Genomic DNA, 23259 nt, shown 5'->3' on the forward strand with positions numbered 1-23259 from the left:
AGGCTGGTCCCGAACTCATGATCTCAAGTGATCCAACCGCCTCAGCCTCCCAAAGTGCTGGGATTATAGGCGTGAACCACTGTGCCTGGCCTATTTTAAGTTCTTTGAGAAATCTCTAAAGTGCTTTCCACGGTGGTGGAACCAGTTTGCATTTCCACCAACAGGGTATAAGCATTCCCTATTTTCCACAGCCTCATCAACATCTGTTTTCTGACTTTTAAATAATCACCAGGGAATGAATGTTGAGGGTCAAGGGCCTTTGTAGACTGCTGACCAAGTAGCTGCTATGTATAAAATTGACTGTTAGAGAAACCTCAACTACAGAGTGTCTGTGAGTTTGATGTTTTGATGTTTTGGGACAAATGGAATTTTTTGCTCAGTTAGGGAGGAAGGTAACAGTATAAATATTGCTGATTATGTAACAGGCCCAGTGCACTCCAAAGTATTAGCATAGAGTACAAGATTTAACTCTATCATTTGGTAAATTACTATTACTATAATCCTTAAGTAATTAATAATGGTTCCGTTCATCACTTTAGAAAATTTGGGGGAATTATTTTCAAATAATTTTAATAAACTTCTATGTTGAAATAATTTTTGATTTACAGAAAAGTTGCAAAGGTGGGACAGAGGGTTCCTGTATACCCATCACCCAGTTTCTGGGGGATGATTTTGATAGTCTCAGGAGAACTTCTCAGGAAAGTTTAAAATGATGTTTCACAGTTCCTCCTCTTTCTCTTCCCTCTTCAGATTAGTCAAAGCTCTAGCTCCAGCTGTTTAGTGTCAGACCTCAGGGGAACAAGGGCTGCTAAGTCTCTTTCTCAGTACTTCTTTGGAAAAGCTATAAAAAAACAATTACCAGGTCATGTTAGCAAGCAGAATTAAAGATGAGCTTCTTAAACTTACTTATAGAACTGCTGAGATTTTGAACAATCTGATTTTTTGTTGTTGTCATTGTTTTTGAGACAGGGTCTTGCTCCGTCACCCAGGCTAGAGTGCAGTGGCATGATCTTGGCTCACTGCAGCGGCATGATCTTGGCTCACTGCAGCCTCAAACTCCCGGGCTCAAGTCATCCTTTTGCTTCAGCCCCCCAGTACCTGGGACTATAGGCATGTACCAGCATGTTTGGCTAACTTTTGTAACTTTTTTGTATAGATGGGATTTTGCTATGTTGCCGGGGCTGGTCTCAAACTCCTGGGCTCAAGCCGCTTGGTCTCCCAAAGTGCCAGGATTACAGGTGTGAGCCGCCGTGCCCAGTCTGAAGAGTCTGTATGGAGTGAGGTGTGGATCCCAAGGTTAGGGAACCCCAAATTCCTGGAAGAGAACAACTTGGAAATATTAGTATTTAAGAATATCACTCTTCTCTATGGAAGTGGTTAAGAATGTGACCTTGGAGCCACACTTTTCAAGTGACACTCCCAGCTCTGCCGTTTACTGTAGCCATGGGATATGGAACAAATTACTTCACCTGCTTGTTGCTTCAGTTGCCTCATCTTTAACATGAGGCCAATAGGCCAGGTGTGGTGGCTTTATACCTGTAATCCCAGAACTTTGGGAGGCCAAGGTGGGCGGATCACTTGAGCTCAGGAGTTCGAGACCAGCCTGGCCAGTGTGGCAAAAACCCATCTCTACTAAAATTACAAAAATTAGCCAGGCGTGGTGGCATGTGCCTGTAGTCCCAGTAACAGGCTAGGTGAATCACTTCACCCCAGGAGGCAGAGGCTGCAGTGAGCTGAGATCGTGCCACTGCACTCCAGCCTGGGTTACAAAGTGAGATTCTATCTCAAAAAACAACAACAACAAAAACATGAGGCTAATACTAGTCCCTATCTCCAAGATTGTTGTGAGGATTAAATGGATTAATATGTGTGGAATATTTAGAATAGTCCCTGGCCCAGTAAATGTTAGATGTTGTTAACTCAGTTATTACTGTCTTGTCCTCTAGGACTTGGGAGAATTAAGCAAACCATTAAAAATACTGTTGATAAATTCATTTTTTTTTGTCCTTGATTTGAACAGAAACTCAGCCACCTGTGACAAATTTGAGTGTCTCTGTTGAAAACCTCTGCACAGTAATATGGACATGGAATCCACCCGAGGGAGCCAGCTCAAATTGTAGTCTATGGTATTTTAGTCATTTTGGCGACAAACAAGATAAGGTAAGTTTTCTGCAACATGTTACATTGATGAGGTAAAGTGAACACTATGAATTGGAGCCAAGAATAAGCCAAATTCTAGTCTTACGTCAAAGTGGAAATTGTATTTTAGGGTGTGTTTAAATTTCAGTTGGGGAAATTATAGAAGCAACTATTGACACAAGTGAACACTTAAAAATATTTGCTAATTATTTGACAATTAAATGCAATTGAGATTGCTCTGACAGGAAATACTAGATATCTTTTTCTCTAAGGTACTCAATAAATAATTATGTTATTGTTAAAATTTGTTCCTATGTTCCTGCCTGTAGCTGTATTGCCTTGTATCTATATAACACTTAATTTTGGGGAATTTTTACATTTACCATCTTGCTAATCACATGGACAAATAGATGTACAGGCACTATGTGGTGTAAAAGTAAACGGCCATATGGAAAGTGAAAAAGTAAGTTGTCAGTGGCAGGTGTGTTTGAGTAGAGGGTTCTGTAATGCCCGCGGAAAAAGGAGGAAGACTTTCAAGATTTCTAGTCAACTGATATAAGTGAATTTTTGTTAATAGGTTTGGATAATTTCAGGTCCTTTATGATAATCTTATTCAACTTTTTTTTCAAAATCTTTTTATACCTTCTTTCGGTGTGTATGTGTTTGTTGCAGGGTGGCGGCGGTGAGTGGGTTGGGTGTTTGGGGTTGAATTTGTCCAGGATTTTGAGTAGGCAGAATGAGAAGTTATTAGCAACAGTGCTTTGCATCAGTGAATTGTAGAAGCACCAAGTTCAGGCAGCTTTGGTGGCAGGAAGTCAGGAGAACTAGCTTCTGATTGGCACTGTCACTCTTAGCTGACTCTATGGCCTGGAATAAATTGCTTAACCTCTCTGAGCGTTTGTTTCCTTATGTATAAAGTATGGCTTTACTCACTTCGCTGGCTTGCTGGGACACAGAAAATAATGTATATATACAAAAGTTTAATAGTCAGGATGGAACATGCTCTTCCTCTGGAGGGAAATTTGCTAATCTGCCTTCCTCTCCCTTGTCCTGCTGAGGTGTTACTTATGGTTTAGGCGTTAATTGATAAAGAATTGAGGCTTATCAGAAGTATTTGCATTTTAAAAGAGGTCTTCTAAATGTGGAAGCCAATGATACTACTAGCAGTGAGACTGGAGTTTGCCTTTACATACTGTCGGCTTCCTCTTGTTCCTCCTAAGGAAGGGCCTTAGGCATTTGGAGTCTTAGTGGTGATTTTTGGTAATTGAGCCTTGAGAAATTCACAGAAAGACCCTAAGTGCCTCTGGCTGTAAGCCCTGTAATCACCCAAGTGTCTAACTGAAACCCTGAGCAGAGGTTGCTTTTCAGGTCCCTTTTCCTTAAGTTGTCAAGGATCAATCAGGTAGCCAGGCTGGTGTTCTAGCCTAGAAATGGGGCTATTTCCTCAGAGTATGTGCAGAAATCTAGAGTTAAATGTAACTTTAGGAGACAGTAGAATCAGATAGAATTGTGCTTGAAATTTTATCTCTTCCCGTTTCAAGCTGTTTGATTTTGGGCAAATCACTTAACCTCTCTGAGCTCCCATTTTCTTGTTTATAAAATATGGGGTTGTTTTGGCGGGGGGCGGGTAATAATAGTACCAACTGAATATGGATGGTGTGTGCATTAAAGGAGATGAGGTTTGTAATGCACCTGACACAGAGTTAGTGCTAGGTAATTGTTAGCTTTTATTATTGTTACTGTTGTTAGGTTGAGCCATGTGAAATTACCACTTTTATGGGTCAAAATGGTTGAATGTTGTCAGTATTATTTGTCAGCCTAATATTATCATTTAATCTTGTTTCCTCCATTTTACCCCTGAAGAAACCAGATAGAGACCAAAAAGGGTGACCTCTGCCTAAGGCCAGCTCATTCATTGTAGCCATTTGACAGCATTGATGGCCATCAGTCCTACATTTGTGATGAACACGGATTATTCCTTCCAGTCAGTGATAGGAGATATCCTGTCTGGACCTTTTTCAAGTTTATCATCAGGAGGCTGAAAATGAATGGCAGAAGTAATTTTCCTCTCCTCTTTCTGTCCTTTGGGTACAGCATTAGCATCATTGGGCCAAACTGAGGTATCCCTGAAGCATATTGAAGCAATGGCATTATGATAGTTTGTACATTAGGGGGCTTAGGAAAATGTTCAAAGGTCCCAAGTTGCTAAATGAGATAAACCCTTGAGGTCATTTTCAATCTTAAGATTGGAGGCTCATCAAGTTGAGAGACAGGGATTTGCAGAGGATTTTTGGAAAAGAAAAGATTAGTGTAAATGGCAGCCCTCCACCATTTTTTAGGCAGTGTCTAATAGTTCCTCAGCTGGCAAGTAGAAGGAGGATCTAGCATCAGATTTTAGATATCTTTCATCACTAAGAGATGGGCAAGTCCCATTAGGCAAACTAATCAAAAGGCCAGGCATCCAAATAGGAAGATGCTGAAGCTAACTCCCTTTCTTTTTGAGAAAGGAATTCTGGAGTTGAGAAAGGTGCAGTCCAGCCAAGTGAACATTGGTCTGGGGAGATCAGTTCAGGACTCTTGCCTTGGTTTTTGATAAATTTTCAAAGGGAATCAGATTCCCTGCAGGGTGGAGCATAACATCATACAGCAGCTACCAGTGGGAATGATTCACCAAAGCCAAAAGTCACATGGGAGCCATCACACATACCTCATCAAGATCTGATGGGAGGGTTGAACGTGGTGACTCATGCCTGTAATCCCAGCACTTTGGGAGGCCGAGGCGGGCTGATCACCTGAGGTCAGGAGTTCAAGACCAGCCTTGCCAACATGGTGAAACCCTGTCTCTACTAAAAATACAAAAGTTAGCCAGGCGTGGTGGTGTGCACCTGTAATCCCAACTACTTGGGAGGCTGAGGCAGGAGAATCGCTTGAACCCAGGAGGCAGTGGTTGCAGTGAGCCGAGATCATGCCACTGCACTCCAGCCTGGGCAACAGAGCAAGACTGTTTAAAAAAAAAATCTGATGGAAGGAATTTAGGAATTTAGTTTCTTGTGTGATACAGAGAGGTGTACTTGACTTGGCAGTTGTTGATAATCTGGGTTCCTACTTTATTAGTGCCAGTTTAATATTGTTTACCTTGAACTTTGAAAGAAATTAAAAAAAAATTATTTGAAAAAATTTTCCCTCTACTGTCCCTTTTCTATGTTATTATTCATATGCCTGAAGCATAAGGTTCGGATTTAGATACTAAGGCATTTTTTAATTTTTTATGTTATTTTATTTTGAAATGGAGTCTGCTCTGTCACCCAGGCTGGAGTGTAGTGGTACGATCTCAGCTCACTGAAACCTCTGCCTCCTAAGTTCAAGCAATTCTTGTGCCTTAGCCTGCCAAATAGCTGGAACTACAGGTGCATGCCACCACGACCAGCTAATTTTTTTTGTATTTTTAGTGGAGACAGTGTTTTGCCATGTTGGCCAGGCTGGTTTCCAACTCCTGACCTTAGGTGATCCTGACCTCAGGTGACCTTGGCCTCCCAAAGTGCTGGGATTACAGGTGTGACCCACCACGCCTGGCCACTAAGGCATTTTTTAAATTAAAAATTCCATTGTGATAATTTTTGTGTACTAAAACTCCGTAACCCTCTAACTGGAACAATGTCCATTATAATATGAAAACTGGGATTATCTTCATGATGATTCTAATTTGACTGTATTTGACTGTACAGTCTAATTTGACATTTGACTGTACATTTTCCCCTGATGTCTTCAAAGGGCAAATATAGCTTCCAAACAAGAATTGCCATGGATCCTTGGATAAGGGTGGCTTCTTCAAAGATATATGGGACTTGTGCTTAGTAAAATTGTGAGGTTGGTAAAATTTGTATTCGAAGCCTTCCTGCCACCACTACCATGATCCTGGAGGCAGGTCTTCAGCTTCACATACTCAGAAACTTCATTTCCTCAGCACACATGCATCTCTCAGGGGCTGATTTTTTACTTTGTTGTGAAAATGGAATGGTAATGGTGAAGCATTCTAGGAAGATTTCTGTTAGCATAACTGGTGCATTTCATCCCTGTCGGCAGAGCCTATATGGGAAGCCAAATGTTAAGTAGGTTTCTTGGTGAGGAATCAGAAATTAGTTGTAAAAATATACTTGTCTAAGAATAGCTGGAGGCCCTACTGAGAGTAAACAGCTTTGCCAGTGGGACAGAAAAATTCAATGCCCACATTCCTGTATCACCCTCTTTTTCCTGCCTGTCAGGATTTTGCTCACAGACATTTCTTTTTCTGTTCTTCCAGGGCTGACCAACTCCCTTTTCAGAGTACTGTCTTGACTGGACCTAAGAGCTATTCTGGTTCTATAAAGTGATTTTGTTTTTGTGTCCTTGCTATGATTTATTCATTGTTGACTTGGTAGTTACTTCTCAGAGGCCATCCATATGTCCTGGTTTTGGGGGTATCTCACAGTTGCCCTCATGCTCAGCTGGCAGCAGGCATGTGACATGGCAGAATAGCTCTTTAGGGTAGCAGATAGAACTAACTGTGGCAAATTTTCCTCTTCATGGCCGTCAACATGTAGATGAAAGGAAATACTATCTCTGACTTGAGTCAGAAGCTATTGCAAAACAGGAGGTGCTCTCCTTGGAGCTCTGATTAAAAGCAGCTCCATTCTTAATTATTCCAACTCTGTCAGTTTGGGAAATGTTAATTTCCCGGAGAGCCCATTAATCTTATTATTCTCAGTCATAGTAACCAGACTGGTGATTTATGTCTCTATGATGTCTATAAATTGGCTTCCTATGGTTCCACAAAGCTTATCTACTTTTCAGAATGAGAGTGTATATACTCAGCACATATAGCAATGTTTGAAATTTATACATATATATGAGGTAGTCAAAATAGTCAAACAGTAGAGAAAGAGGTTTAATGAAAAGTCTCTCTTCAGCCCTCAGGCCCTCCTCCTTTACTTCCTTACCCAGAAGTAACCATGATTACTGGATTTTTTTTTTGAGACAGGGTCTCACTGCATTGTCCAGGCTAGAGTGCAATCTTGGCTCACTGCAGCCTCCCGCTCCCAGGCTCAAGTGATCCTCCCACCTCAGCCTCATGAGTAGCTGGGACTATAGGCATGAGCCACCATACCTGGCCAATTTTTTTTTGTACAGATGGGGTTTTGCCATTTTGCCCAGGCTGGTCTCGAACTCCTGGGCTTAAGTGATCTGCCTGCCTCAGCCTCCCAAAGTGCTGGGATTATAGGCATGAGCCACTGAGCCTGGCATGATTCCTGGATTCTTAAAGCATCCCTTTTTAACCTTAATTTTCCTGGTACAGTGCATCTACTTCTAAGTGAATTTTGATAATCATATTGTTTCCTTTAAAATTGCTTTTAGAGAGTTGATATGTTAGCATTGTAGGTTTATAGGTAAATTTCATGTTTATACCTTTAAAATGTGGGAAATTGTTGTATCTACACCAGGGTTTCTCAATGGTGACACTAGTGACATTTGCTGAAGGGTTTGTTGTAGGAGGAGGGGGGCTGTTGTGTGCATTGTAGGATGTTTAGCAGCGTCCTTGACCTCTACTTACTAGATGCTGGTAACCTCCCCCTCCCAAGTTAGGACAATAAAAAGTGTTCGATATTACCAAATGTCTCTGAGAGCGGTAGGGAGAACAAAATCAGCCCCAATTGAGAATCACTGATCTATACCATTTGATAACTTTTTTGATAAAAAAAGCACCACATTTAGACATGCTAATGTTTCATTATATAAGTGTGTGTTAGCTGAAGCAATGCCTTTTTCAATTTTCTAACCTTAGAAAATAGCTCCGGAAACTCGTCGTTCAATAGAAGTACCCCTGAATGAGAGGATTTGTCTGCAAGTGGGGTCCCAGTGTAGCACCAATGAGAGTGAGAAGCCTAGCATTTTGGTTGAAAAATGCATCTCACCCCCAGAAGGTAACAACTGAAAGCGCTATCTCTTGGTGTTTAGAGAATAAATCTGAATGCTCCAATGCTTTTGTGCATTGTTCATTAATTAATTCAATTCTCAAACATTTTCTGAGTCTAATAAGTGCCAGGCATTGTACTAGGTGCTAGCAGCTCAATGAAAATATGAGTATGTCTCTGCCTTGAAGAAGCTTACAAACAACTTGAATAACAATGCCTAATAGTTATATAAAATTTAATAATTTAAAAAATGATATACACATGCACGCGCGCGCACACACACACTCACACACACACACACGCACACCCCTCCTTTAGATCGAGAGTCACAAGCTTATCTTGTGAAGTGAGTAAGGCATGTATTATTACCCTGATCCATTTTATGAGGAAGAAAGGAACTGCGTGACTTGCTGTATGTCTTCACATTTCAGGCCCAGTGCTTTAAAAATAAAACACAAAATACTCTCTTACCCATTATGTGTGATACTTAGTTTGATATGCAGGATATATTTGGGAAAAGATGTTGTTTAAAGAGAAAAATATTATGCTGGCCTGGCTCCAATACAAGTCTAGACAAGATAGTACAAGACAACCTTAGGAAAAGCTGTCAAGTAGTGAGGATGATCATTGTTCCCCAATCCCACCTCTCCCAATGTCCTTCTGGCTCTTATGTTACATACAGGGAGTAGCATATACTGATTAAGAGCAGGGCTACCAGAAACCAACTGTCTAACTTTAAATCCCAGCTCTGCCAGCTACTAGCTGTGTAACCTTGGGCAAATTTCTTAGCCCCTCTGCACCTTAGTTTCCTCATCTGTAAACTGGGCATGATGATAGTATCTATCTCCTAGAATTATTGGGATGATTACGTAAGTCAGTATATGTGAGGTACTTAGAATAGTGCCTGGCAAAGAGTGAATGTTGTGTGTGTGTGTGTGTGTGTGTGTGTGTGTGTACACACACAAAAAACATATATATATAACACATATATATACTATATATAATATATATTATATACATTATATGTAATATATATAATATTATATAATATATAATTATATATAATATTATGTTGTCCCTTGGTTGGGTAGGGCTGGGCCCCATCTCTTAACCTCCAGTCCTTAGCTCTATGTGCCCTTTGCTCTAAGCCATTCCATTTACCTGCTTTGTACTGATCACAAACACATGAAGTGCTGTTTGTAAAATTATAAAATTCAGGACTGCCAGGAGATTTGAAACAACTTACCTGCCCTATTCTCCTTTCCTTAGGAGTTAACGAAAAAAAAAAAAAAAAAAACGGCTAGATGCAGTGGCTCACACCTGTAATCCCAGCACTTTGGGAGGCCAAGGTGGGCGAATCACCTAAGGTCAGGAGTTTGAGACCAGCCTGGTCAACATGGAGAAAAATAATAATAATTAGCCAGGTGTGGTGCATGCTTGTAGTCCCAGCTACTCAGGAGGCTGAGGCAGGAGAATCGCTTGAACCTGGGAAGCAGAGGTTGCAGTGAGCCAAGATCACATGACTGCACTCCAGTCTGGGTGACAGAGCAAGACTCTGTCTCAAAAAAATAATAATTACTATACTATGACATAAAATGGTTGATGATGGCTCAGTGTAGTACCCCTTCAAGGATCATGAGGGATAACAGATTTACATTTTAAACAGAGGTGTTTAATTTAAAGACATTATACCTTAACTAAAATGGCTTTATAAAGATAGAGATTTTAGGTCAGAAAGATACTAGGGCTCTTAAAGTCATGACACTTAAGAGGCAACTACTAAGAGTTAAATTAGGCTTACCTTTCCCCAGAATTGCTTCAGGAGGAATGTTTGTTTGTTTGTTTATTTAGAGACAGAGTCTTGTTCTGTTGTCCAGGCTGGAGTGCAGTGGCAAGATCTTGGCTCACTGCAACCTCCACCCCCCTGGTTTAAGCAATTCTTGTGCCTCAGCCTCCCGAGTAGCTGGGACTAAAGATATGTGCCACCACACCTGGCTATTTTTTGTATTTTTAGTAGAGACAGGGTTTTGCCGAGTTGGCCAGGCTGTTCTTGAACTCCTGACCTCAAATGATCCACCCTTGTTGGCCTTCCAAAGTGCTGGGAATACAGGCGTGAGCCACCCTGCCTGGCTGAATGTTTATTTTTTAAAAAATGTGTCAGTATTGATCAAAAGACAGAAAGTTAAATTGTACCTCAATAATTTTTTAAGACAGATATATATAAGGGTTGTTTGTATATCCACATTCATTTAGGAATTGTGTAGATATTGTCTATGATTGAAATAGTTTTTGATCTTTTATCTCTCCCTCCAGTTAGGAATATTAGTTAGGGTCCCTCAGTGATAGGGAAGATGTTTTCTTTGTATCAGGAGGTAAGAGAGAAGGTTGTGAACAAATTAGATTTGAGTTTCCTCCATCCTGGGTGACTTCTGGGTAAAATGGGGTGAGAGATGAAGCATTTGCTTTCTGACAAAGCAGCATGAAGCACTCTCATCATCCCCATGCCAAAGAGTGATTTGCTACTTTGCATTACAAGGAAAGAAGGGTCTTAAACTCTTGGCCTGGATATTCTAGGTGATCCTGAGTCTGCTGTGACTGAGCTTCAATGCATTTGGCACAACCTGAGCTACATGAAGTGTTCTTGGCTCCCTGGAAGGAATACCAGTCCCGACACTAACTATACTCTCTACTATTGGTGAGTATGTACAGTACAATTACTGGAAGACTGATTGTAATTGTGTTGGGAGCCTTTGGATCCAACCTAGTCAAAAAAAAAAGAACTGTTTAATTTTTTCTGCAAACTCAACAAGATGGACAGTTTGCTTCAATGAAAAATGCATCTGTCTTTGGTGTCTACTTTTTAAATAAACTTTCTATTTTTAAATATAGATCCTGTATATTACCAGAAAAAATGTACAGAGAGATCCCATATACTCCACTCAGTTTCTCCCAGTGGTAACATCTTGTGTAACTATAGTGCATTATCAAAACCAGAAAATTGGCATTGGTACAATCCAAAAACCTCAGTCCTATTTCAACAGTTTTACATGCACTCGTGTGTGTGTATATGTAGTTGTATGCAATTTTATCACATGTGAAGATATACAATGGTTGCATCACCATAAGGAGTTGCTCTTTTATAGCCACACTCACCTCCGTCTTAAACCATCTCTCCTTGTACACCCCTCTCCCCCAATCCTCTAACCTCTGGCAACCACTAATCTGTTCTCCAGCTCTTTAATTTTATTATTTCAAGAATGTTACTGAAATGGAATCCTATAGTATATAACCACTTAAGACTGGCTTAAAAAAAAAAAACTCAGCGTAATACCCTGGAGATCTATACAAGTAGTTGTATATCACGAGGCCACTCCTTTTTATAGCTCAGTAGTATTCCATGATATGGATGTACCAGTTTTTTAAACCATTCATTCATTAAAGGATATCTCAGTTTTTTCCAGTTTTTTGCTATTATGAATAAAGCTACTGTAAATATTCACATACAGATTTTTATATGAACATAACTTTTCATTTCTCTGGAATAAATGCCCAAGAGTGCAATTGCTGGGTCATATAGTAATGGCTTATTTAGTTTTTTTTTTTAATGCCAAACTGTTTTCTAAAGAAGTTAGTTCACCTTACATTTCCACTAGCAATGCATGAGTTATTGATGTCTACTTTTAAAAAGGAAAATGATATGTCCGGGGTCAAAAAGTTGTTTGTTTGTTTATTTATGTTTTTGAGATAGAGTCTTGCTCTGTCACCCAGGCTAGAGTGCAGTGGTGAGATCTAGGCTCACTGCAACCTCTGCCTCCTGGGTTCAAGTGATTCTCCTGCCTCAGCTTCCCAAGCAGCTGGAATTACATGCATGCACCACCATGCCTGGCTAATTTTTGTATTTTTGGTAGAAACAGGGTTTCAACGTGTTGGCCAGGCTGGTCTCGAACTCCTGGCCTCAAGTGATCTGCCCATCTCGGCCTCCCAAAGTGCTGGGATTACAGGTGTGAGCCACCACACCCAGCCTCAAAAAGTAGTTTAGCTTCCTGCAAAACAACTTTGATATTTTGATATTTGATACTTTAGTATTTGGTATTTGTGACTATATCTACTACAAAGTTTGTTAAATTTCTAAGTTAGTCTTCCATCATTCCCTTTAGAGCCTAGAATTATTAGCAACAGAACAAGGAAGAAAGACCAGATTAATCCAGTTTAATTCAGTAAACCTTTATTTAGAACACTTTGTGGATAAACCACTGAATGCACAGCAGAGACAAAAAACATATCTCTTCTCTCCTAAAGCTCAAAATATAGAGGAGAAGATAGTGCCTGATACAGTGACCTGCATTAAATTAAGTAAGACAGTGTATGCTGAAGGCTGTTGCAGAGGGATAGATAGATTCCTGTGGGAAGTTAGGTTGGAGCTTGGGGTGGTGGTCGAGGGGAGGTGGATGGGTGGATGGAGAGGGGACTGAGAGGCTTTGATGAAGGAGGAAGACTGCCTAGATGGGGGAGTTTCTCTGATGCTGGCCTCTGGGGAAGAGCATTTTGAGAAATGGAGGTATTTAATCGTTGTGATGTCAGGGTGGAGAAGGGGAGACCTAGCATAGGCAGTCTGCCTCTACATGGCCTTGTTCCCTGACTGTCATTTGTTAAGACTTCTTCTGAGAGAATGGGATGTGGAGAGCCATGTCCAAGACTTGTGAAGCTACTGGATAAACATGGCCTTTCATGCTAGAGTGTCTATTTTGCCTGATGACATGATGGAAAGCATTTTTGATACATTAAAACACTCATGGCTATATCATGGAATAGAATGCAAAAAAAAAAAAAAAAAAAGTAACACACATTTTTGGATGAAAACCTCCAAAGTTGCCCCAGGATTCACATCCGCACTCCTCCCTGGTGGAAGGATCCTCCTGGCAAAGTTGGGAAATCCTGCAGGTGGAGCCAGAAGTTCTGTGTGGTTATGTCTGAGGTCTGTTTCTTTTTCCCCCCCTGATGTAAATCTCATTTGAGGTTTTGTAGTTTCACCTGCTCACTCTTGGTACCTGTTGTTTCTCCTTTACTTAAAACCCTTCAGTGGCTCCCTGGTGGCTTTAGGTTAAAGTCCAAACTCTCCAGCATGACAGACAAATCGCTTTATGACAGACCTGGCCCCTGTCAACCTCTCCAGACTCGGTTGCATCTGCCTCCATGCACCCCCGCCCCTCTTGCAGCCTACCATTCGCCCGCAGCAAACTTCTTTCAGTTCCTCAGACTGCTTTCTTCAAATACTCAAACACAACACTAGATTTCAAACAGAATATTCAAACAGAATAGTGGAAACATTCTGCATCCTCTTGTAGCCTAGGCCTTTCCTTTTCATTTGGATGCCTCTTATTTGTCTTTATCCTTATTTCAGCCCAGACACCATTTCCTCTCCAGAAAGCCTTCCTTGACCTCTCAAGTCTAGACATGTGTCCCTTCCTCTTGTCTCACGGCACCTTGCAATTTCTTGTGTCATACTACCCAGCACATTGTGTTGTCATTTCCTGTTACTTGGTGGTAGCCTGCTACAGGCTTCAGTTTCTCTTGAGAGCGGGAGCTGTGTCTTGTTTCTCCTGGTGCCTGATATATAGTAGGTATTCCATAAATAAGTTGTGAATGTTTGGTAGGATCCAAAGCTAGAGAATATTCAGGGTTGCGGTGATGACTTATGAGGTATAAGCAACTGAGGAATATTATGGTTCATGAATAAAAAGAGAGAAGGATTGAGTAGATCCAGCTCCCTAAAGAATTGCTAAGAAGGGGCCAAAGAACTAAGCCTTACTAAGAAGGAGTAGCCTGGCTGTTGATGTTGTAGTAAAGTTTAGGGAGAGCTGTTACACAGGCTTTTAAGATGTCTTGTGAGTTGGCAGCATCCATGTGTTTATTATGCTATTAACCCCTCTTGTTTTCCCTGGAATCATTATTGGTAAAACCGCAGGGAAAACCTTTAAAGAATCTATGTCTATATAAGGGACTGGAAAAGAAGGGAAGAAGTCTTAAAACTGTATCTCATTCCATGGCAGACTGGGTAGAAAATTATCCCAGCTATTAGAATCAGGGTGGCACTGGAGGCAGATGGTAGCCTAGTCCTTGGGGTTCTTCTAAGACAAAAATAGGGAAGTGCCTTGGGGATATACTAGCAAAAACAAAGTCTCAATGCAAATTGTTAAAAGAATGTTTCCTCTGGGTGAATGAATTACAAAAAAACCTGGACTGACCAATTTGAAAAAGCATTCCTCTTCCTCTGGGCTGAAGCAGGCTCTCACCAAAGCTGAGAGCAGATGGTACTTGGGCTGGCTTTCAGCCCTCAGTTGATGTCTTTTTGCAGGGAACAATCTGCACAGCCACTGGAGGTCGCTCAAGATGCAATTCCAAGATAGTGGTGGGTCACTAGCATCCAAGGGGGCAGATATCAAGGATCCTACTTTTTTTTGCGATAGGGTCTTGCTCTGTTGCCCAAGCTGAAGTACAGTTGGTGTGATCATTGCCCACTGCGGCTTCAACCACCCAGGCCCAAGCCATCCCCCCATGTCAGCCTCCTGAGTTGCTGGGATCACAGGTGTGTACCACCATGCCCAGCTAATTTTTGTGTTTTTTGTAGAGATGGGGTTTTGCTATGTTGCCCAGGTTGCTCTCGAACTCCTGGGCTCAAGCCCGTCTCGGCCTCCCAAAGTGCTGGGATTATAGGCATGAGCCACCGCACCTGGCCTACTTCTTGTCATATACAGTCCCAGAGCTGGTCATCAGCAGGGGATCTTTCTGTAGTGTAGTTCTGTGCCATCCAGTATAGGAGCCACTGGCTACATGTGGCTAGTTACATTTTAATTTAAATCAATTAAAATTGAATCAAATTAAAACTTCAGTTGCATAGTCTCGCCAACCACTTTCACAAGTGATGAGTGGCTCTTGTATTGGACAGCACAGATAGCGACCATTTCCATAATCCCAGAAAGTTCTGTTGGATGGTGCTGGTATAGATTCTGTATCTTATCCCCTTACCACCCCACAGCTTATTCTTTCTGGAGCCACACTGCTTGGGTTGAAATCCTGGCTCTCTTCCTTACTTTAGTGTGATTTTGGGTAAGTCCCTTCTCTCTCAGCCTTAGTTTCATAATCTGTGAAATGGAGATAGTAATAATAGTGCCTACTTCTTAAGGTTGTTGTGAGGGCTAGTGTTTAGAGCCATGACTAGCTGCTAGCATATGTAGAGTAAGTGCTCAATCCATAATAGCTATTATTACTATTGGCCAGGCGTGGTGGCTCACGCCTGTAATCCCAGCACTTTGGGAGGCTGAGGCAGGTGGATCATGAGGTCAGGAGATCCAGACCATCCTGGCTAACACAGTGAAACCCCGTCTCTACTAAAAATACAAAAAAATAGCCAGGCGTGGTGGCGGGCACCTGTAGTCCCAGCTACTCAGGAGGCTGAGGCAGGAGAATGGTGTGAACCCGGGAGGCGGAGCTTGCAGTGAGCCGAGATCCCACCACTGCACTCCAGTCTGGGCAACAGAGCAAGACTCCATCTCAAAAAAAAAATACTATTTATTATTATTATTATTGTTATTATCCCCACTCCTTTGCAGATGCAGTCAGTACACAGCGCTGGCCTCTTCCCGTCTCACAGAATTAGTACCTAACCCATATCTCCTTCTTTCTTGCTCTCCTCTAGATAGATCCTTTCTAATCAAAACCACAAAAGAAAGGGAGTCAAGACACAGTGCTCATTAGCAAGCACCAGAAATGGTTTAGGTACCAGTATAAATCACATCAAACAAACTGCCAGAGACTGTTTTCCCTAACCCCCAACCATAAAATACGGAGTCTTTCTTTTTTTTTTTTTTCTTTTTTTTTTTTTTGGAGACAGAGTCTCATTCTGTCGCCAGGCTGGAGTGCAGTGGTGCGATCTCGGCTCACTGCAGCCTCTGCCTCCCGAGTTCCAGTGATTCTCCAGCCTCAACCTCCTGAGTAGCTGGGATTACAGGCACGTGCCACCACACCTGGCTAATTTTTGTATTTTCAGTAGAGACAGGGTTTTACCATGTTGGCCAGGCCGGTCTGGAACTCCTGACCTCAAGTGATTCACCCACCTCAGCCTCCTAAAGTGCTGGGATTACAGGCGTGACCCATGGCGCCTGGCCTGGAGTCATTTTTTGAAATCAAAATAATTCATTGAAGCCCTAGGGCAATGACTTGTGTCCCTGTAGGGACAGTCTGGCATTGAACAGACCCCGGCCTGAAGAGCTTCAGACTAGTCATGCCAGCGAATTTTAGGGATTTTTTTTTTTTTTACCACATTAATCATCTTCTGAGTTGGGAGAATAGTCTTTAATTTGTCAATTTCCTTCTCATATCTGCAGTGTGACTCTGCAGATGAATTCAGTATATAAATTTTAACAGGAATCACCTGCTGTTTTAGGTTAATGTTTCACAAGAATTCAAGAAATGTTATCTATTCAGAACCAGTATTTTCCCTTCTATAATTATTTCTAAATTACAACAAAATTGTTTTAAAATTTCATTATCTGAGATCCATGAGCATATGCAGAATACTCAGGGTACAGAAATGAAAAAGGGATCAAGAAGATTGTGCATTCGAGGAGTTCCTTTCATCATTAAAAACAATTTTACACATGGCTTTCTTTAGTTATGTAAGAAAAATGTCATTAAATTTCTTCAGTTTCTGTTTTTGGCCATGGGCGGAAAACATTCCAGGACAGTCTGATCCAAAAACTAGTCATGACAATAACTTCATTTTTACAACACTGTTTTCTTCATAAACCACAGGGCGCTGCAACTAGGGGGAAAAGCTTATGTACTACCTATTGAAGGAAAAAAGCATTTTCTATATCGAAGCATTCCTTTGTGCAGCCTTTGAAGGAATAAATACATTAGCTCTGAGTTTTTTTTTTTTTAAACTGACTTGCAGCAGAATCTCCTGGAGAATTGCTGTTCAAATGCTGGTTCCTAGGTCCTGGCAAAACCTTCTAAATCAGATTTTCTGGGAGAGGGTTTGAGAAACCTGCATTTTAAAGTAGTACAGAGGATTCTGAGGTAACAGGTTAAGGATTTGGGACTCTTTACTCTTAGTTCATTTTTCTTAAAATTGTCTTCCTTTTCTGCAAAACCTTTGTGCAACTCCCTTTGTGGCTGATGATGTAAGACTTGACTCTGTCTTCTGCCAGTTACTACAAAACAGTTCTCTGATAGCCTAGACTAAAAAAAAAAGTGTAATAAACACATTGTCTGCCTGCGCTGGGCTAGGTGCTGATGATCTTTGGGGAAAGGTATGTGTCGAGGAGAAATGGGAAATAAGGTACCTGTAATACTGCTTATGGAAGACAGTTAAAGCCACACAGTGGAGTGAGACACTTAGAAAGCCATTGTGTTTTAGAACATTGACCTGGCAGTGATTGGAGGGCACTAATAATGAAGGTCAGGGAGGTCAATCTGAAGAAGCAATGGAGCCTGTAGTCATTAGGGTATGAATCTCAGGGTGTGGGCAATGGATGTATCATAAAAGACGAGGATCCATGAAGCTTTGCAAAGGAAGAAAGAACAGAATTTGGTGATAGAATACAGGGAACAGAGGTGGGGGAAAAGGTGATTTTAATTTAAATTACCTAATCTAGGAGCCCAAAGAAAATGAGCTCTGGCTGATAATGGGAAGGTTGGAAGAAAAAACAGTTTGGTGGAGAAGAGGGTGCATGATGTGTTTTGGACACTGGATTTGAGGCAATGGTAGAACACTCAAATGGAGCAGTTGGAGATCTGGGATTTGTTCTGAGGTGAGATGTCAGGATTAGGAATTACCAGCATAGAAACTGTAGTTGAAGGATGAGGGAGTGATAAACTGGATGTGAGTGGATGAGGGAGTCAGAAAGAGGGAAGAATGTGAGTAGTCCTCCTACTCCCCCTCTGCTGGAAGAGAGAGGAGGGAACAGAACAAGCCAAGAAACAAGGAAGGAGCAGGGCAGAGGGACCAGAGGAGGAATCGTAGACTTCAGCAGATAGGCATTTTCAAGAAGCATGAAACTTCTAATCCCAGCCTTAGAATGTCTTCTCTTATACAGAAGAAATAGGCCTCCTGTAGTCTCTATAGCTGCTGACAGTACCAGTGTTCATCAAAAAGGAACAATCTAGGCTGGGTGCAGGGGCTCACGCCTGTAATCCCAGCAGTTTGGGAGGCCGAGGCGGGTGGATCACTTGTGGTCAGGAGTTCGAGACCAGCCTGGCCAACATGCTGAACCCGTCTCCACTAAAAATACAAAAATTAGCCGGGCGTAGTAGTGTGTGCCTGTAATCCCAGCTACTCAGGAGGCATGAGATTCACTGGAACTCGGGAGGCGGAGGCTGCAGTCAGCTGAGATCGTGCCACTGTACTCCAGCCTGGGCAGACAGAGTGAGACTCTGTCTCAAAAAAAAAAAAAAAAAAAAGCAGAAAACAGTCTTTTCTTCCTAGCATATGAAATGAGTCACATTGTACAATAGGGTTTTTTTAAAAAAAGTTATCTTGCCCATTGCAAATATTGCTTTTCATGGACATCTCAGTCATTAAAAAGAATTCTGCCTTTTTTTTTTTTTTTTTTTTTTTTTTTTTTGTGGAAGGGTCTTACTCGGTCACCCAGGCTGGAGTGCAGTGGTGCAATCTCAGTTCACTGCAACCTCTGCCTCCCAGGTTCAAGAGATTCTCCTTCCTCAGCCTCCTGAGTAGGTGGGATTACAAGCACCTGCCACCACACCCGGCTAATTTTTGTATTTTTGGTAGAGACAGGGTTTCACCATGTTGGCAAGGCTGGTTTCCAACTCCTGACCTCAAGTGATCCGCCTGCCTCAGCCTCCAAAAGTGCTGGGATTACAGGTGTGAGCCACCGCGCCCAGCCTGCTCTTATTTCTTGAATACTCTGTTGAATATAATGCAGAAGATTGTCTCATTTTATCTTGTAGGCACAGAAGCCTGGAAAAAATTCATCAATGTGAAAACATCTTTAGAGAAGGCCAATACTTTGGTTGTTCCTTTGATCTGACCAAAGTGAAGGATTCCAGTTTTGAACAACACAGTGTCCAAATAATGGTCAAGGATAATGCAGGAAAAATTAAACCATCCTTCAATATAGTGCCTTTAACTTCCCGTGGTAAGTTTTAGAAGTCCTCTAAAACAGTATGGATAAAAAGTGTGTTATATCTTTTGCACAATCAATACAAATAATAAAAAATGATCATTCTGGGTTTAAGATCTTCTGAAAGAAGGGACTATATTGATGTATAACTTTCTTTGATAGATCCTTTTTAAAGAAGTAAACTTGGAAATTCTTTTTATTGAACACATGTGCCAGATGCTTTATCCTTGTTTAGAGTACACTGAGAGTTAGAACAGTTAGTTGTAGAACCAACATTGGAATTGTCTTAGTTCATTTTTTGTTTGGTATTTTCTGGTATTCTGTTGCTTATAACAGAATACCAGAGACTGGGTAATTTATAAAGAAAAGGAATTTATTTCTTAGAGTTCTGGAGGCAGGGAAGTGGAAGGTCAAGGGGCCAAGTCTGATGAGTGCCTTCTTGTTTGTGGGGACTTTCTGCAAAGTCCCAAGACAGCACAGGGCATCACATGGTTAGGGAGTTGAGCATGCTAGCTCAGGTCTCTCTTCCTCTTTGTATACATCCACGAGTCCCACTCCCATGATAATCCATTAATCGGTCAATAGATCAATCAATTCATGAAGGCAGAACCCTCATGACCCAATTATCTCTTTAAAGGTCCAACCTCTCCATACTGCCACATTGGGGATGAAGTTTCAACATGAGTTTGGGAGAAGATAAACATTCAAATCATAGCAGGAACCCAGGCCATCTGACTCTAAGGTCTAGTCTCTTGATACTTAAAGAGGATGATACTCATAATGATCATATGTAGTTCCTAAATAATCTGTCTCTTAGAAAAGGCATAGACTTAAGGTAGTGTAATCGGGTGATATTCAAAATATTTAACATTCTGTATGGCATGGGCACTGATCAGTTAGAAAAACCAGTATAGCCTTAACTGTGGGTGCCAGCTGCATGTCAGCCTGTTAGAAAGCACCCTCAGCTTGAACACAGATTATCTGATTAGGTTCTAACTCCTTCACTTTGGGCAAGGCATATAAACCCCCTTCAAATATTTCCTTATCTGTGAAATGGAATATATAATCTCCCTCTATCTAAAAAAATTGTCATAAGGTCCAAATGACATAAAGCGTATTAACACATTGTGTAAATTACTAAAGCAAATTCCATTAGCGTAATGGTTTATTTGTTGAAATATCCCAACTGGGAGCTCAGATTCTGGCTTAGATAGTCATAGAAGTGAATTCTAATAGGGTACCAAAGTCAGCTTACTTTGTAGGCCAAGGGAGTGAGGTTGGAGTATTTTGCCTAGTGGGGTAAGCTGAAGCAGAGCCCTTCTCTTTGTTTGGCAGATTATCTTAGATGATCTTTTAAGTCTTATTTTGCTGTTTTCCTCTCTGGATATTAATGGTGACATAAAGGAAGAAGGAAGATCCTTCTCAGATAGAAGATGATATCTTCAAGTTGTTTTCTGTTAATTACCCATTATCTTCTATTGCTTGGTCTTAAGTATAGCTGACTCCTGAAAAAGTAAATTGACCAGGCTAATGCATTTTTAAAAATAAATTATTTTTTTCTTTTTCTGAGACAGGGTCTCTGTTGCCCAGGCTGGAATGCAGTGGCGTGATCACAGCTCACTGCAGCCTTGACCTCCCGGGCTCAAGCTATCCTCCCATCTCAGCCTCCCTAGTACCTGGGACCACAGGCATGTGCCACCACGCCAGGCTAATTTTTGTATTTTTTGTAGAGACGGGGTTTTGCCATGTTTCGCAGGCTGGTCTCAATCTCCTGAGCTCAAGCGATCTACCCACCTTGGCTCCCAAAGTATTTTACTCTTAATTGTGGTTATAAACACACAACATTAAAATTACCATCATAAACATTTTAAGTGTACAGTTCGGTAGTGTTAAGTATATTCACATTGTTATGCAGCAGCTCTTTAGAACTTTTTCATCTTGCAAAACCGAACTCTGTTCATTAAACATTAATTTCCCCTCCCCTCCGCCCTTAGCAACCACCTTTCTACTTTCTGTTTCTATGAATTTGACTACTTAAGATACCTCATAGGAGTGGATTCATACAATATTTGTCTTTTGTGACTGGCTTATTTTACCTAGCATAATTTCCTTGAAGTGCATTTATGTTGCAGTGTGTGTCAGAGACTAAGCCAATGTTTTAATGGTGGTCTTTGATTGGCATTAATAAGTGACAACTAGGGAAGCCCCTTGTATCTGGTGCCTTATTACTCATCAGGTGGAAGTACATCTGGATCCAAGCCTTTCTTTATTCTCTATGTTGCGTCTAGATGTCCTGATTATACCCTGGCCATTTTCTAACCAGATGCAGGTCAGAGTTCATATCATCTGCTAGATACCCCAAATATGTTCCTTAAATTCATTTTACTAGGCAGTTTTAAATAAACTTCTTCTATAATTGTGGCTAAATAGAAATTCTAAAACTATGTATCTGATCATGAAAGGCCACTAAATGCATCAGCTCTGTTTTGATTTAACTTTATGAACCCTGCATATATCTGCAGTTGTCTCTCAGTATTTGTGAGGGATTGCTTCCAGGAACTTCCAAGGATACCAAAATCCATGGATGCTCAAGTCCCTGATAAAAAGTAGCATAGTACTTGCATATAACCTATGCATATTTTCTCACATACTTTAAATCATGTCTACATTACTTATAATACCTAATACAATGTAAATGCTATGTAAATAGTTGTTATATTATCTAGGGAATAAATGAGAAGAAAAAACTCTGTACATGTTCAGCACAGATGCTATTTTTTAAAAAATATTTTCAGTTCATGGTTGGTTGAATTCATGAATGTGGAATCCATGGATATGGAGGGCCGACTGTGTGTTTGTGTGTATAATCAAGCTTTGGAAGCTTACTTGTGTTCTATTTTTGTTTTTCAGTGAAACCTGATCCTCCACATATTAAAAACCTCTCCTTCCACAATGATGACCTATATGTGCAATGGGAGAATCCACAGAATTTTATTAGCAGATGCCTATTTTATGAAGTAGAAGTCAATAACAGCCAAACTGAGACACATAATGTTTTCTACGTAAGGTTTTAAAATTATTGTTTTTATTTGGCTATTTTTCTTTTACTTGAATTTCTTACATTGAAATATCAATGAAACATAGCTCTTACATTTGTCACCTTATGATGATGATGGTAATGAAACTTCTTGTCTAAAATAAGGCATGGTGGAAGATTTGAAGATTTATGGTATGATAGTATCAGCTGCAAGTTTCAAGCCATTTATTCATCTGTAAGCTTCTTAGAAAGGCCTATTAAACGATAATTCATTTGCTCAACACGTTCTTATTAAATATCCACCACATGCCAAGCACTCTTTTGTGTGCTAGGGATAAGGCAGTGAACATGACACCTGACAAGTTTTTTTCTTCATGAAACCTACATAATAGAAAACGTAAGTAAATAAGCAAGCTAATTTCAGAGGATGAGTGCTGTGAAGAAAATAAAATGGGCTGATGTAGTAGAGTGACTGGGAGAACGAGAGGGAATATTAGGTAGGGAAATCATCTGAGGTAATAACATTTGAGATGAGACCAGAATGATGAGCAGACGCTAGCCATGTGAAGATCTGGGTGTAGGGGGTCAGCAGATACAGACTCTGAGGCAAAAATGAGCTTAGCATGTGTGAGAGAACAGAAAGGAGGGTGGTGTGAACAAAATGTAGCAGGAAAAGATGTCTAAGCAGTAGGCAGACATCAGATCTTGCGGACACTTTGGAGGCTCTGATAATACCATTCTGTTTTCTTGGAGTTTGTGGCAACTAAAGTAATCAGATTTGAGTAGTCAATATTTGTTGGATTATGTGCCTGTATGCTATTCAGAATCAAATGCAGAACATGCTAATTAGAGGCCCTGTAGGACACTGACCAGAGTGTACTATAATCTCAGGACATCAGTCCAGTTGTTCTGCTTTAGGGTAAAGGTCACAAACTAGGGCCTCACACTTTTTTGTGTGGAACACAAAGTCGTGTTTTGTTTGTTTGTTTGT

General features: G+C 40.9%; 1 protein-coding gene across 2 annotated transcripts in view, besides 1 other annotated feature; it reads left to right on the forward strand.

The window, feature by feature from the left end:
• IL13RA1 (interleukin 13 receptor subunit alpha 1) overlaps window positions 1–23259 on the forward strand; it is a 77623-nt gene that overhangs the window by 11391 nt on the left and 42973 nt on the right. For both annotated transcript variants that reach the window (XM_047442096.1, NM_001560.3), the window contains exons 2-6: window positions 2021–2160; window positions 7958–8096; window positions 10662–10782; window positions 19059–19246; window positions 22142–22293. In XM_047442096.1, coding sequence (XP_047298052.1) covers window positions 2021–2160; window positions 7958–8096; window positions 10662–10782; window positions 19059–19246; window positions 22142–22293 — 740 coding nt within the window. The remainder of the gene's footprint in view (window positions 1–2020; window positions 2161–7957; window positions 8097–10661; window positions 10783–19058; window positions 19247–22141; window positions 22294–23259) is intronic.
• Window positions 13250–13349: an enhancer, noted in NCBI's record as "active region_29878". NCBI's record gives its function as "activates an Ori minimal core promoter by ATAC-STARR-seq in GM12878 lymphoblastoid cells {active_cell/tissue: GM12878}" and the evidence as "EXISTENCE:reporter gene assay evidence [ECO:0000049][PMID:35858748]".

This window comes from Homo sapiens, chromosome X, assembly GCF_000001405.40.
Source record: "Homo sapiens chromosome X, GRCh38.p14 Primary Assembly".
Taxonomy (NCBI): Eukaryota; Metazoa; Chordata; class Mammalia; order Primates; family Hominidae; genus Homo; species Homo sapiens.